At 56.5% G+C, this 12279-nt stretch overlaps 1 protein-coding gene across 2 annotated transcripts in view; it reads right to left on the bottom strand.

The window, feature by feature from the left end:
* The window catches only part of CROCC2 (ciliary rootlet coiled-coil, rootletin family member 2), an 86976-nt gene that overhangs the window by 13263 nt on the left and 61434 nt on the right, over positions 1–12279 (bottom strand). For both annotated transcript variants that reach the window (XM_024453115.2, NM_001351305.2), the window contains exon 27: positions 11787–11920. In XM_024453115.2, the coding sequence (XP_024308883.1) occupies positions 11787–11920 (134 nt within the window). The remainder of the gene's footprint in view (positions 1–11786; positions 11921–12279) is intronic.

Here is a 12279-nt window from a genome sequence, read left to right as displayed (position 1 = left end):
TGGGATCCTGAGGCTCCTACCCCAGAGCTTGAGCAGGGATGAGCCTGGGATCCTGAGGCTCCTACCCCAGAGCCTGAGCAGGGATGAGCCTGGGATCCTGAGGCTCCTACCCCAGAGACGGAGCAGGGATGAGCCTGGGATCCTGAGGCTCCTACCCCAGAGACTGAGCAGGGATGAGCCTGGGCTCCAGAGGCTCCTACCCCAGAGACTGAGCAGGGATGAGTCTGGGCTCCTGAGGCTCCTACCCCAGAGACTGAGCAGGGATGAGCCTGGGCTCCAGAGGCTCCTACCCCAGAGACTGAGCAGGGATGAGCCTGGGCTCCTGAGGCTCCTACCCCAGAGACTGAGCAGGGATGAGCCTGGGCTCCTGAGGCTCCTACCCCAGAGACTGAGCAGGGATGAGCCTGGGCTCCTGAGGCTCCTACCCCAGAGCCTGAGCAGGGATGAGCCTGGGCTCCTGAGGCTCCTACCCCAGAGCTTGAGCAGGGATGAGCCTGGGCTCCTGAGGCTCCTACCCCAGAGCCTGAGCAGGGATGAGCCTGGGCTCCTGAGGCTCCTACCCCAGAGACTGAGCAGGGATGAGCCTGGGATCCTGAGGCTCCTACCCCAGAGCTTGAGCAGGGATGAGCCTGGGCTCCTGAGGCTCCTACCCCAGAGACTGAGCAGGGATGAGCCTGGGATCCTGAGGCTCCTACCCCAGAGCTTGAGCAGGGATGAGCCTGGGATCCTGAGGCTCCTACCCCAGAGCTTGAGCAGGGATGAGCCTGGGATCCTGAGGCTCCTACCCCAGAGACTGAGCAGGGATGAGCCTGGGCTCCAGAGGCTCCTACCCCAGAGACTGAGCAGGGATGAGTCTGGGCTCCTGAGGCTCCTACCCCAGAGACTGAGCAGGGATGAGCCTGGGCTCCAGAGGCTCCTACCCCAGAGACTGAGCAGGGATGAGCCTGGGCTCCTGAGGCTCCTACCCCAGAGACTGAGCAGGGATGAGCCTGGGCTCCTGAGGCTCCTACCCCAGAGACTGAGCAGGGATGAGCCTGGGCTCCTGAGGCTCCTACCCCAGAGCCTGAGCAGGGATGAGCCTGGGCTCCTGAGGCTCCTACCCCAGAGACTGAGCAGGGATGAGCCTGGGATCCTGAGGCTCCTACCCCAGAGCTTGAGCAGGGATGAGCCTGGGCTCCTGAGGCTCCTACCCCAGAGACTGAGCAGGGATGAGCCTGGGATCCTGAGGCTCCTACCCCAGAGCTTGAGCAGGGATGAGCCTGGGATCCTGAGGCTCCTACCACAGAGACGGAGCAGGGATGAGCCTGGGATCCTGAGGCTCCTACCCCAGAGCTTGAGCAGGGATGAGCCTGGGCTCCTGAGGCTCCTACCCCAGAGACTGAGCAGGGATGAGCCTGGGATCCTGAGGCTCCTACCCCAGAGCTTGAGCAGGGATGAGCCTGGGATCCTGAGGCTCCTACCCCAGAGCCTGAGCAGGGATGAGCCTGGGATCCTGAGGCTCCTACCCCAGAGACTGAGCAGGGATGAGCCTGGGCTCCTGAGGCTCCTACCCCAGAGACTGAGCAGGGATGAGCCTGGGCTCCTGAGGCTCGTACCCCAGAGACTGAGCAGGGATGAGCCTGGGCTCCTGAGGCTCCTACCCCAGAGACTGAGCAGGGATGAGTCTGGGCTCCTGAGGCTCCTACCCCAGAGACTGAGCAGGGATGAGCCTGGGCTCCAGAGGCTCCTACCCCAGAGACTGAGGAGGGGTGAGCCTGGGATCCTGAGGCTCCTACCCCAGAGACTGAGCAGGGATGAGCCTGGGATCCTGAGGCTCCTACCCCAGAGACTGAGCAGGGATGAGCCTGGGCTCCTGAGGCTCCTACCCCAGAGACTGAGCAGGGATGAGCCTGGGATCCTGAGGCTCCTACCCCAGAGCCTGAGCAGGGATGAGCCTGGGCTCCTGAGGCTCCTACCCCAGAGCCTGAGCAGGGATGAGCCTGGGCTCCTGAGGCTCCTACCCCAGAGACTGAGCAGGGATGAGCCTGGGATCCTGAGGCTCCTACCCCAGAGCTTGAGCAGGGATGAGCCTGGGATCCTGAGGCTCCTACCCCAGAGACTGAGCAGGGATGAGCCTGGGATCCTGAGGCTCCTACCCCAGAGCTTGAGCAGGGATGAGCCTGGGCTCCTGAGGCTCCTACCCCAGAGACTGAGCAGGGATGAGCCTGGGATCCTGAGGCTCCTACCCCAGAGACTGAGCAGGGATGAGCCTGGGATCCTGAGGCTCCTACCCCAGAGCCTGAGCAGGGATGAGTCTGGGCTCCTGAGGCTCCTACCCCAGAGCCTGAGCAGGGATGAGCCTGGGCTCCTGAGGCTCCTACCCCAGAGCTTGAGCAGGGATGAGCCTGGGCTCCTGAGGCTCCTACCCCAGAGCTTGAGCAGGGATGAGCCTGGGATCCTGAGGCTCCTACCCCAGAGCTTGAGCAGGGATGAGCCTGGGCTCCTGAGGCTCCTACCCCAGAGACTGAGCAGGGATGAGCCTGGGATCCTGAGGCTCCTACCCCAGAGCTTGAGCAGGGATGAGCCTGGGATCCTGAGGCTCCTACCCCAGAGCTTGAGCAGGGATGAGCCTGGGATCCTGAGGCTCCTACCCCAGAGACTGAGCAGGGATGAGCCTGGGCTCCAGAGGCTCCTACCCCAGAGACTGAGCAGGGATGAGTCTGGGCTCCTGAGGCTCCTACCCCAGAGACTGAGCAGGGATGAGCCTGGGCTCCAGAGGCTCCTACCCCAGAGACTGAGCAGGGATGAGCCTGGGCTCCTGAGGCTCCTACCCCAGAGACTGAGCAGGGATGAGCCTGGGCTCCTGAGGCTCCTACCCCAGAGACTGAGCAGGGATGAGCCTGGGCTCCTGAGGCTCCTACCCCAGAGCCTGAGCAGGGATGAGCCTGGGCTCCTGAGGCTCCTACCCCAGAGCCTGAGCAGGGATGAGCCTGGGCTCCTGAGGCTCCTACCCCAGAGCTTGAGCAGGGATGAGCCTGGGATCCTGAGGCTCCTACCCCAGAGACTGAGCAGGGATGAGCCTGGGATCCTGAGGCTCCTACCCCAGAGACTGAGCAGGGATGAGCCTGGGCTCCAGAGGCTCCTACCCCAGAGACTGAGCAGGGATGAGTCTGGGCTCCTGAGGCTCCTACCCCAGAGACTGAGCAGGGATGAGCCTGGGCTCCAGAGGCTCCTACCCCAGAGACTGAGCAGGGATGAGCCTGGGCTCCTGAGGCTCCTACCCCAGAGCCTGAGCAGGGATGAGCCTGGGCTCCTGAGGCTCCTACCCCAGAGCCTGAGCAGGGATGAGCCTGGGCTCCTGAGGCTCCTACCCCAGAGACTGAGCAGGGATGAGCCTGGGCTCCTGAGGCTCCTACCCCAGAGCTTGAGCAGGGATGAGCCTGGGCTCCTGAGGCTCCTACCCCAGAGACTGAGCAGGGATAAGCCTGGGATCCTGAGGCTCCTACCCCAGAGCTTGAGCAGGGATGAGCCTGGGCTCCTGAGGCTCCTACCCCAGAGACTGAGCAGGGATGAGCCTGGGATCCTGAGGCTCCTACCCCAGAGACTGAGCAGGGATGAGCCTGGGATCCTGAGGCTCCTACCCCAGAGACTGAGCAGGGATGAGCCTGGGCTCCAGAGGCTCCTACCCCAGAGACTGAGCAGGGATGAGCCTGGGCTCCTGAGGCTCCTACCCCAGAGACTGAGCAGGGATGAGCCTGGGCTCCAGAGGCTCCTACCCCAGAGACTGAGCAGGGATGAGCCTGGGATCCTGAGGCTCCTACCCCAGAGACTGAGCAGGGATGAGCCTGGGCTCCAGAGGCTCCTACCCCAGAGACTGAGCAGGGATGAGCCTGGGCTTCTGAGGCTCCTACCCCAGAGACTGAGCAGGGATGAGCCCGGTCTTGGAGCCAGCATGTGGGGCTGCAGTGTCAGTCTCCCCATCTGGGGCATGGGTATGATGCAGTCTCACAGGGGTCTCGTTGAGACCAAAAGAAGGCTGGGCTGGGCGCTGTGGCTCATTCCTGTAATCCCAGCACTTTGGGAGGCTGAGATGGGCAGATTTTCTGAGGTCAGGAGTTCGAGACCAGCCTGGACAACACAATGAAGCCCCAGTCCTACTAAAAATACAAAAAATTAGCCGGGCGTGGTGGCGGGCGCCTGTAATCTCAGCTACTTGGGAGGCTGAGGCAGGAGAATCACTTGAACCTGGGAGGCAGAGGTTGCAGTGAACCAAGACCGTGCCACTGCACTCCAGCCTGGGCAACGAGAGCAAAACTCTGTCTCAAAAAAAAAAAAAAAAAAAAAAAAAAAGCAGGCTGGTTGGATGCTGGATTCTGAGATGCCCCCAGGGAAGCTGTTACAAATGAAGGGCTTGCATGGAAGGCTGGGAGCGAAGGCTGGGAAATATCTGAACAGGAGCAGAAGGGACAAAGGCCTCGTTAAGCGTCCTGCCGGCTGCACAGAGAAGGACAGGACACGTCATAAACACTCGCCAAATCCATCCTTTGGGCTCTGGAATTGGGGTCCTCAGCCTCATACCCATTTATCCACTGGGCGACGATGGGCCAATTTGATTGCCCACTGGCAGGTATCCCCTGGTCTCCCTGCACTGGCGAGCTGCCCCGTCCTGCCCTCAGGCCAGTCACAGGACAGAGTTAGCTCTGGACAGTCCTCAGATACAAGGGGATTGGAGCCCTTCACTCCACACAGTGGGACTCTGGGGCCAGACAGAGGGCAGGGTCTGGTGCCAGTTCATGGTGGCAGGGCCTCCTCTGGACTCTGGCCTGCCCTGCTGCCTCTGCATCTATTCTACCAGCCTCTCCTGCTTTGACCATACTAGCATTATAGCCTGTTGTACTATTCACTTTCAAAATTTTCTTGGAAAATCTCAAACATCTATTCTTTCCTGTAAACTTTGCAATCAGTTTGTCCAGTATTCTCTAAACACATCACAAACAAATAGACAAAACCAAACCAAAAAAGCAAACGACCAATAAACAACTGACAAAGCAGGAGCATAAACAAAGATCCACCCAGACACTGATCAAAAGAAAACCGTCATCCCTGCCCAAAGCCACAGCCTCTCCAGGAAGATGACGTAAGCAATAAAAAGTGGCACAAACACACACTCATGCTTTCAAATAACCCCCAAATTTAAGAAGAAATAAAAATGGAAACTTCTAGAAAACTGGTAAAAAGGAAAAGAACTCACATCAAAAACTGATGGGACACGTACCAAACCACAATTAGGGAAAATGGGATCACATTAAATGCTCTTACTATTAAAGAGAAAGCCCAAGCATAAACAAATTACTTATTCCTTTCAAGAAATAAGAAAAATTACAACAAAAAGAGGGTGTTGGCTGGGTGTGGTGGCTCATGCCTGTAATCCCAGCACTTTGGGAGGCTGAGGTGGGTGGATCACTTGAGCTCAGGAGTTTGAGACTAGCCTAGGCAACATGGTTTAACACCATCTCTACAAAAAAAAAAAAAAAAGAAAAAAAAGAAAGAAAATACAAAAGTTAGCCAGGTGTAGTGGCATGTGCCTGTAGTCCCAGCTACTCAAGAGGCTGAAGTGGGAGGATCGCTTGAGCCCAGGAGGTAGAGACTGCAGTGAGCCGAAATCATGCCACTGCACTCTAGCCTGGGTGACAGAGCAAGACCCTCAAAAAAAAAAAAAAAAGTAAACTAAAAATAAAAATAGAGTGTTCCTAGAAATAAAAGCTGAAATCAATAAACTAAACAAAAATAAAAGAAGAGATACATTGATTCTTTGAAAAGAGGAATAAAACATGAACCGTTGGCAAATCAGATTAAGGGAAAGAAACAAATCTCCAACACGAAGGAGAGAAACAGATATAACTCCACATGTAAATAAGGTACAACTACGCATATAAAGCAGGTGTAACTGCTGACAAGACCATGTATATAACGAAGATGATGCTAAGCAGACGTATGTGCAGGTCTTTGGCAACGTATTGAATGTGTAAGATAAGTTACACTCCCACAGGGCAAAACTGACCCGAGAAGAAATGGAAAACGAAAGCAGACCCTTGACAGAAAAGAGATTGGAAAGGGAATTAAAGTGTATTCTTTATGATGACAGCTGCGGAATATGTACAGGGGAGTTCAATGAACCTCTCAAGAAAAGTTATTTTGAGTGTTCCAGGTGATGGAAAAAGTGGAAAGCCCACCAACTCATTTTATAAAATAATACAATTTTCTTAACACAAATAAATCTGAAAACTATGTCACCATAAAGGAATTACAGATGCAAAAATTCTTGACAAAACACTGAGAGTAATCAAGTCTGACTGTGGCTCAGTGTCCACCTTGTGGGCCCCGCTGGCCCTAAGCTGCTCTGCTAGCTGTGGGCATATGTGGACCCCGGAAACTTTTAGAACCTGTGACTGACGCTGAGTTGAGCCCCCACAGGCGGGTGACCTGCAAGGCTGGCACTGGGGATGTGGGGAGCTGGGGGGGTGGGTGTGGCACGTGGGCACAGTGGGGGAAGGAGGCCTGGGCAAGAGTCCAAGAACGCCGTGAGCTTCCCTGAGCCACGGAGGCTGTGACTGGGCGCCAGTCCAAGGGTGGCATGGGGGGCCTTTCTGAGCGGGCATGAGGCTGTGGGTGATGCTGAGTGAGTGCCAGGCCTCCCGCCTGCTCAGAGACCTGGCCAGCTACTTGGGCACTGCTGCTGCGTTCCGTGCGTGTCCTGACACCACGGGCTGGTCCTGCACGGCTGTTCTATTGAATTCCCAGGGTAGCCTTGGAAACGGGGAGGGATTTGCTCTCAAACAAGAATCTTACTGTTTGCATAGCACAGCCTACCATTTAATTAGAAAAATATGTTTTTAATTAACTTTCTCTTGACAAACACATCGGCTTATGTGAAACAGGGGAAAAACCAACCCATGAAAGCAAAAGAAGTTGTGTCAAAGGCAGAGCTGGCTCTAGACTGTGCCGGGAGCTTGGCAGAGCCAGGAGAGGCACCAGGCCTGCCCTACTGGACCCTAGCACCCCCCTGCTCAGCAAGGGGCATGGGGCAGCAGGGAGCATGGCTATGTTCCCAGCCCCCTGGCTGGCTAGAAAATTTCAACCCTGAGCTCTCTGCCTGGGTTTGCTGTGTGTCAAAAGCGGGGGCCTCTGGTGACTTAGGTGTGTCTGAATCCAGAAACCTATCACAATGACTCATAGATTACAAAAAGTTGGGAAAAACTTTCCTCAGAGCTGGAGACCAGGGACTTGGAGGACTCCCGAGGGCAGATGAGACCAACTTGGCCTAAAAATGGGTGAAATAATAATTGCCAGAATTGTAAGAAAACGTTGACACCATAATGATAGATTTTAGCACATTTCACTAAAAAAGTTGAGCAAATTCTAGACCAAGCAGAAAAATGCATACAGACAAAGGTCTGGTCAATGTCAGAGACGTCCTCTGCACTCATTGTGGAGACCCAAAGTTGGACCCCCATGTCCCCATACCCTGACTCAGAAGGGCGAGGGCTGGAGGGAGCTGCAGGGGTGTTGGGGAGGCAACTCTGTACTACCAGGACCTCAGGGAAGAGGGTTGCTGTGGCTGGGGGACCCGGGGAGCCCTCCATCCCTGTGAGGCAAGCAGCTGGGGAGGTGGAGGACCGCACCGTGACCGTGCACCGGAGAGCGCCGCTCCCACCCCGCCCACTTCAGGAACAGAACAGCTCCGGGAGGGCCAGAACTCCACTGCTGGCTCCCCATATTCCCCATGGCTCCCTGTGGCTGCAGGATCTTGGAACCCTTCTCTCTGCCTTTCTTTTGAGCCTGAAATATTTGGATGGGGACACATAAAGTCCCTGATGGGTTCCTCTCCACTCCCAACTTCAAACGAGGCCAGAACTCCTTTCTTTAAAGACACGCAAAGGAAAAAAATCACAAAACTAGTATCCACTGGGGTTTGAGAAAATAAAGTCGATCTGAGGAATCAGATCTGAGAGTCTCTAATTAAACAGAGAAGTGAGCTACTGACACACACCAGAAGATGGTAACTAGTGTTCTCAAGGTGAGGACAGGGCAGGGGTCTTGAGGTGGACAATCCAAAATGAAAACTCAGGCCGAACGAGGCCACCGTGGGGACAGGAGCAGCAGACGAGATGCGGCAGATCCTGAGATTAGCTGAGTAGGAGTAAGACCTGAAATTCTCCTGGGACCTTGGGGAAAACCGAGATGACAAGGAGAAATTCAAGATTGAAGCCAGGAGGACAGGTCCAGGGGATCAGTATTGGGATGCTGAGAATTCCAGGACAAAAGAACAGAGAAGAGGGAGAAGGAGAAGAGATGTTTTTTTTACAGTGGAAGGAACCTCTGTAAACAGAAGGTAGATTTGATTCTGCAAGTAGGGAGGGTTTGCCGGGGTAGGTAAAAATAATGAAAGGGGCCGACACGCCCACATTTTGGTGACATTTTTGAATTTCAAAAACAAGGAGGCCTCTGGCTGCCACTCTGGAAAGAGCACTGACAAGAAAAACACAAAGAACCCAGGGAATCCGCACATTTCTTGAACCCATCTGAACTCAAGGTCAGAGGCAAACAAGGAGCCTGGAATCGAATGAAAGCCAGGCCCCTCCAGGAGAGATGCCATGAGCGGCCCCACCCATCAAACCAGCGGCATGGAGTTCACCAAAGCTGGTAACATGTTGCTCGGACCCACGTGGCAGGCAGAGCCCTCAGAGGGCCCTGTGAGCTCTGGCCCTGACGTTATCCTGTGATTACGTTGGATTCATGGCCAGGGGACTTTGTGGATGTGAAGAGTTGACTCTGAGTTAAGCAAAGGGTGACCACCCAGGTGGGTCTCACCCACTCACGCACACCCTCGGGTGTCGGCAGAAGGGAGCCATGAGGTGTGAGGCACGTGGAGATGGGGGGCGTGGGGTGCAGGTGCTGCTGCCACACTGTGGCACAGCCAAGGAAGCCCCTGGCTAGGAGTGGGGAGCCCTTGGCCGACCGCACAGAAATGAGGCTCAGCCCGACAACGCAAAGAGCTGGACTCGCCACGCTGGGATGAGCCCGGATGCCCCCAGAAGCACCTGGATGAACCCAGAGGAGGACTCTTCCCCGTGGCCTCGGGTGGCCCAGCCTACCCCATGACTGTGAGACCCAGAGGGGAGACGCCAGTCACACCATGCCAGGCTTCTCACCTATGGGACTGGGGGCTCAAAAGTGGGGTTAAGTCATCAGTAATTTGTTGCAAAAAGTAGTGCACCAGGTGTGGGCTGCTGTGGGTAGAGAGCCCTGGGGTCCACAGACACCAAGAGAAGTTCAACCTACAGGCAGGAGAGCCCAGAGCCCCCCTGGGGAGCAGGTTTGGAAGAGGGGATTGTCCAGAGCAGGAAATTCTAAGGAGCAAAAGTCTTAGCTCCTAGGGCGCAGGTGGAAGCAGTGCAGCTGGGAAGGGAAGGGACAAGACCCTCGGCCCCTGGAGGGGGCAGGGCGCTGTCCTGGCCCAGCCATAAGATGCCCTGGATGCAAATGCTAAGGGAAAAGAGGATGAATAAATCATCCCTGCCATGCAAGACAGGACAGGCAGGAAAGACACACGGAAAGGAGAAAGTGTCCTATGAACAACCTAAGGAAAAACAGAGCATGGGTTACCACAAAACTTCTACATGGGACAAATTCCCCCAGAAGAGGCAGAGACTCTAAGGTGAGATTGAAACCAGAGCCAGGCTGATGAAATGAAGGCTGAAACCACAAACACCAAAAAAGCAGAGGCCAAGAGGAAGACAAACAGCAGTCACAGGACATGCAGGCCACTCAGGAAAAGTTAACCGAGAAACTTCAAATTCGAAGAGTCAAGAAATCTAGAAGTCAAATACCCTTGGAAATAAAAGGAGACATTGACAAAAAGAATTGTAGTGGGAAAATTCAACACATCATCCTTAGTTTTGATAAATTCAGGAACTGGATCAAATGTGGCCTATTTGAATAATGCATTTGTAAAGGTTGATTTAAAAGGTGTATTTCAGAACTGGGCACGGTGGCTCACACCTGTAATCCCAGCACTTTGGGAAGCTGAGGCAGGCAGATCATTTAAGGTCAGGAGTTCAAGACCAGTCTGGCCAACATGGTGTGAAACCTGTCTCTACTAAAAATACAAAAAAATTAGGTGTATTGGCGGGTGCCTGTAATCCCGACTACTTGGGAAGCTGAGGCAGGAGAATCACTTGAACCTGGGAGGCGGAGGTTGCTGTGAGCCAAGATGGTGCCACTGCACTCCAGCCTGGGTGACAGAATGAGACTCCATCTCAAAAAATAAAATAAAATAGAAGGTCTCTTTCAAAATGTGTAACCTGTGAGCAGAGCACGTTATTTCTGCATGCATGTGGGAGACATACATGTGACTATACACATAAAATGAAACTTGGCCCAACTCAGCCCGCTCCAGGTCCCCTGACTTCTCAGGTGCCCCCATCTCCTGGGCATCTCACAAGTCCTGACCCCATCCCTGGCCAGGCCGCCTGGGTCTTTCCACAGACGTCTCTAGTCTTACTGCCCCAGCAGCTGTCACCAGAAGGGTCTTTCCAAAACAGAAATTTCCAAACTGCTGGCTAATGAGGACCTTGCTCTCTCTGCAGCCTGGCCTCTGCTCTCTGCCCCCTCCCCTCTCCCCTGCAGAAGCCACCTCCTCAGAGGCTCAGGGCCTACTGGGAACTCAGAGCCTGCCTGCTAGTCTGAGTGCTGACAGCCCTCTGGTGGCCTCTGAGGGCCACCAGGCTCCGGGGCTGAGCCCCGCGTGGAACAGCACAGGCCTGGCCGGCTGCCCTTGGGGCCTTTCTGCCAACCTGCAAGGCCGTCCCTCCTGATGGCTCACCCAGGCCTCCCTCATTGGAGGGACACTTGGAGAGGAGTGGCTCCCCGGTCTCTGTGCCCTGTCTCCTCTGCACTGTGCTGGCCCCCTCTTTCCAGAATGGGTTGAGGGACGCCTGGGGGCAGTTGCCCTGGGGAGCCTCAGCCAGGCACGCTGTTCTCTGGCCCCTGGGGCCTGCAAGGGAGCTCTCTGGAGCGGAACAGTTGTCCCCTGGCCCAGTCCTGACAAGAGGATCTCAGGACACCCCGGGGGCTGCTTGGACCTGTGGGGCTGGGCTGGCTGGGCCTGGGGCTCCCCACCAGCACTGAGGACCAAGGCCTGGGCCAGGCCTCCATCCACCACTGCCTGGCCGTTCCATTTCCAGGCCCAGGCTCCTCACCTGAAAACCTCAGACCCAGCGGGCACCTCCCCAGCACAAAGCCTGGCATGTAGGGACACTGACTTCAGCCCTTCCTGAGAGGCCCCTTCTGTGTCTGAGCCACATGGAATGAAAAGTGGTCTTGGAGCAGGACAGTGTGACCCTATAAAGAGCCCCAAGGCTGGGCCAGGGCCGCCCCATGCCTGCCGCTGTGGCCTCAGCAAGAAGAAAGGGCCTAGACTTGGGGCTCTGCCCCCCACTCGCTGTGCCCCCAGGGCCAAGTCCTCAGTTTCCCCAACCTGTAAAACAAGGGCTAGAACCACCGTAAGGACAGCTCTGCTAAGGACGACCCCAGTCCCGATGACCCCAAAGCCGCCTGCCACAGCCCAGCCTGCACCTCTGCCCCAGGGCCCCACCGGGCTGGCTCCAGCCCCGAACACCCACAGAAGCCCTTGCAGACCCCTCTCTCCCACCTCCCGGCCCTGTGGCCTCCCTGCAGGGTGTGAGGGTGACCGAGAGGCCTTGTTCTTGTGCCCCACCTGGGACCCACCCTGCCGCCTGCCCCACCTGCAGCCGCCGCTTCTCCTGGCCTGCCGCACGCACGCTCGCCAGGTGCTCCAACTCCAGCCTGCGGAGCGCCTCCTTCTGCAGGGCACGTGCTGCCCGGGCGCTGCTCAGCGCGCCCTCCACCCGGCGCTGGCCTGTGGGGCAAGCAGGGTGGCTTGAGGGGCCCCCATGCCCCTCCCAGGTCACAGGCAGGCAATGCAGGGCTCTGTGGACTTGAGTGACTGGCTCCCACGTGGAGGTGGGGGTCCATCCTTGCAGCTCAAGGGTCCTGGGGCTGCCCCAGGGTCCCGGCTTCCCACCCATCCTTCCCTCCTGCCTCTTTCCTTTAATTGAGGGGCAATAAGCAGAGAAACTCGTGAGTGTGAGGCAGTGGGGGGCAGAAGGAAGGGGCCTCTCTGAGGGGGTGACGAGGGGCAGGGCCTGCCCGGGGAGAGCCGTGTGGCTGTCTGGGGGAGAGGGTGCCAGGCAGAGGGCACAGCCAGGGCAAAGGCCC

The sequence above is a fragment of the Homo sapiens genome, chromosome 2 (assembly GCF_000001405.40).
Source record: "Homo sapiens chromosome 2, GRCh38.p14 Primary Assembly".
NCBI classification, from domain to species: Eukaryota; Metazoa; Chordata; class Mammalia; order Primates; family Hominidae; genus Homo; species Homo sapiens.
This window is presented reverse-complemented; position numbering and strand designations above follow the sequence as displayed.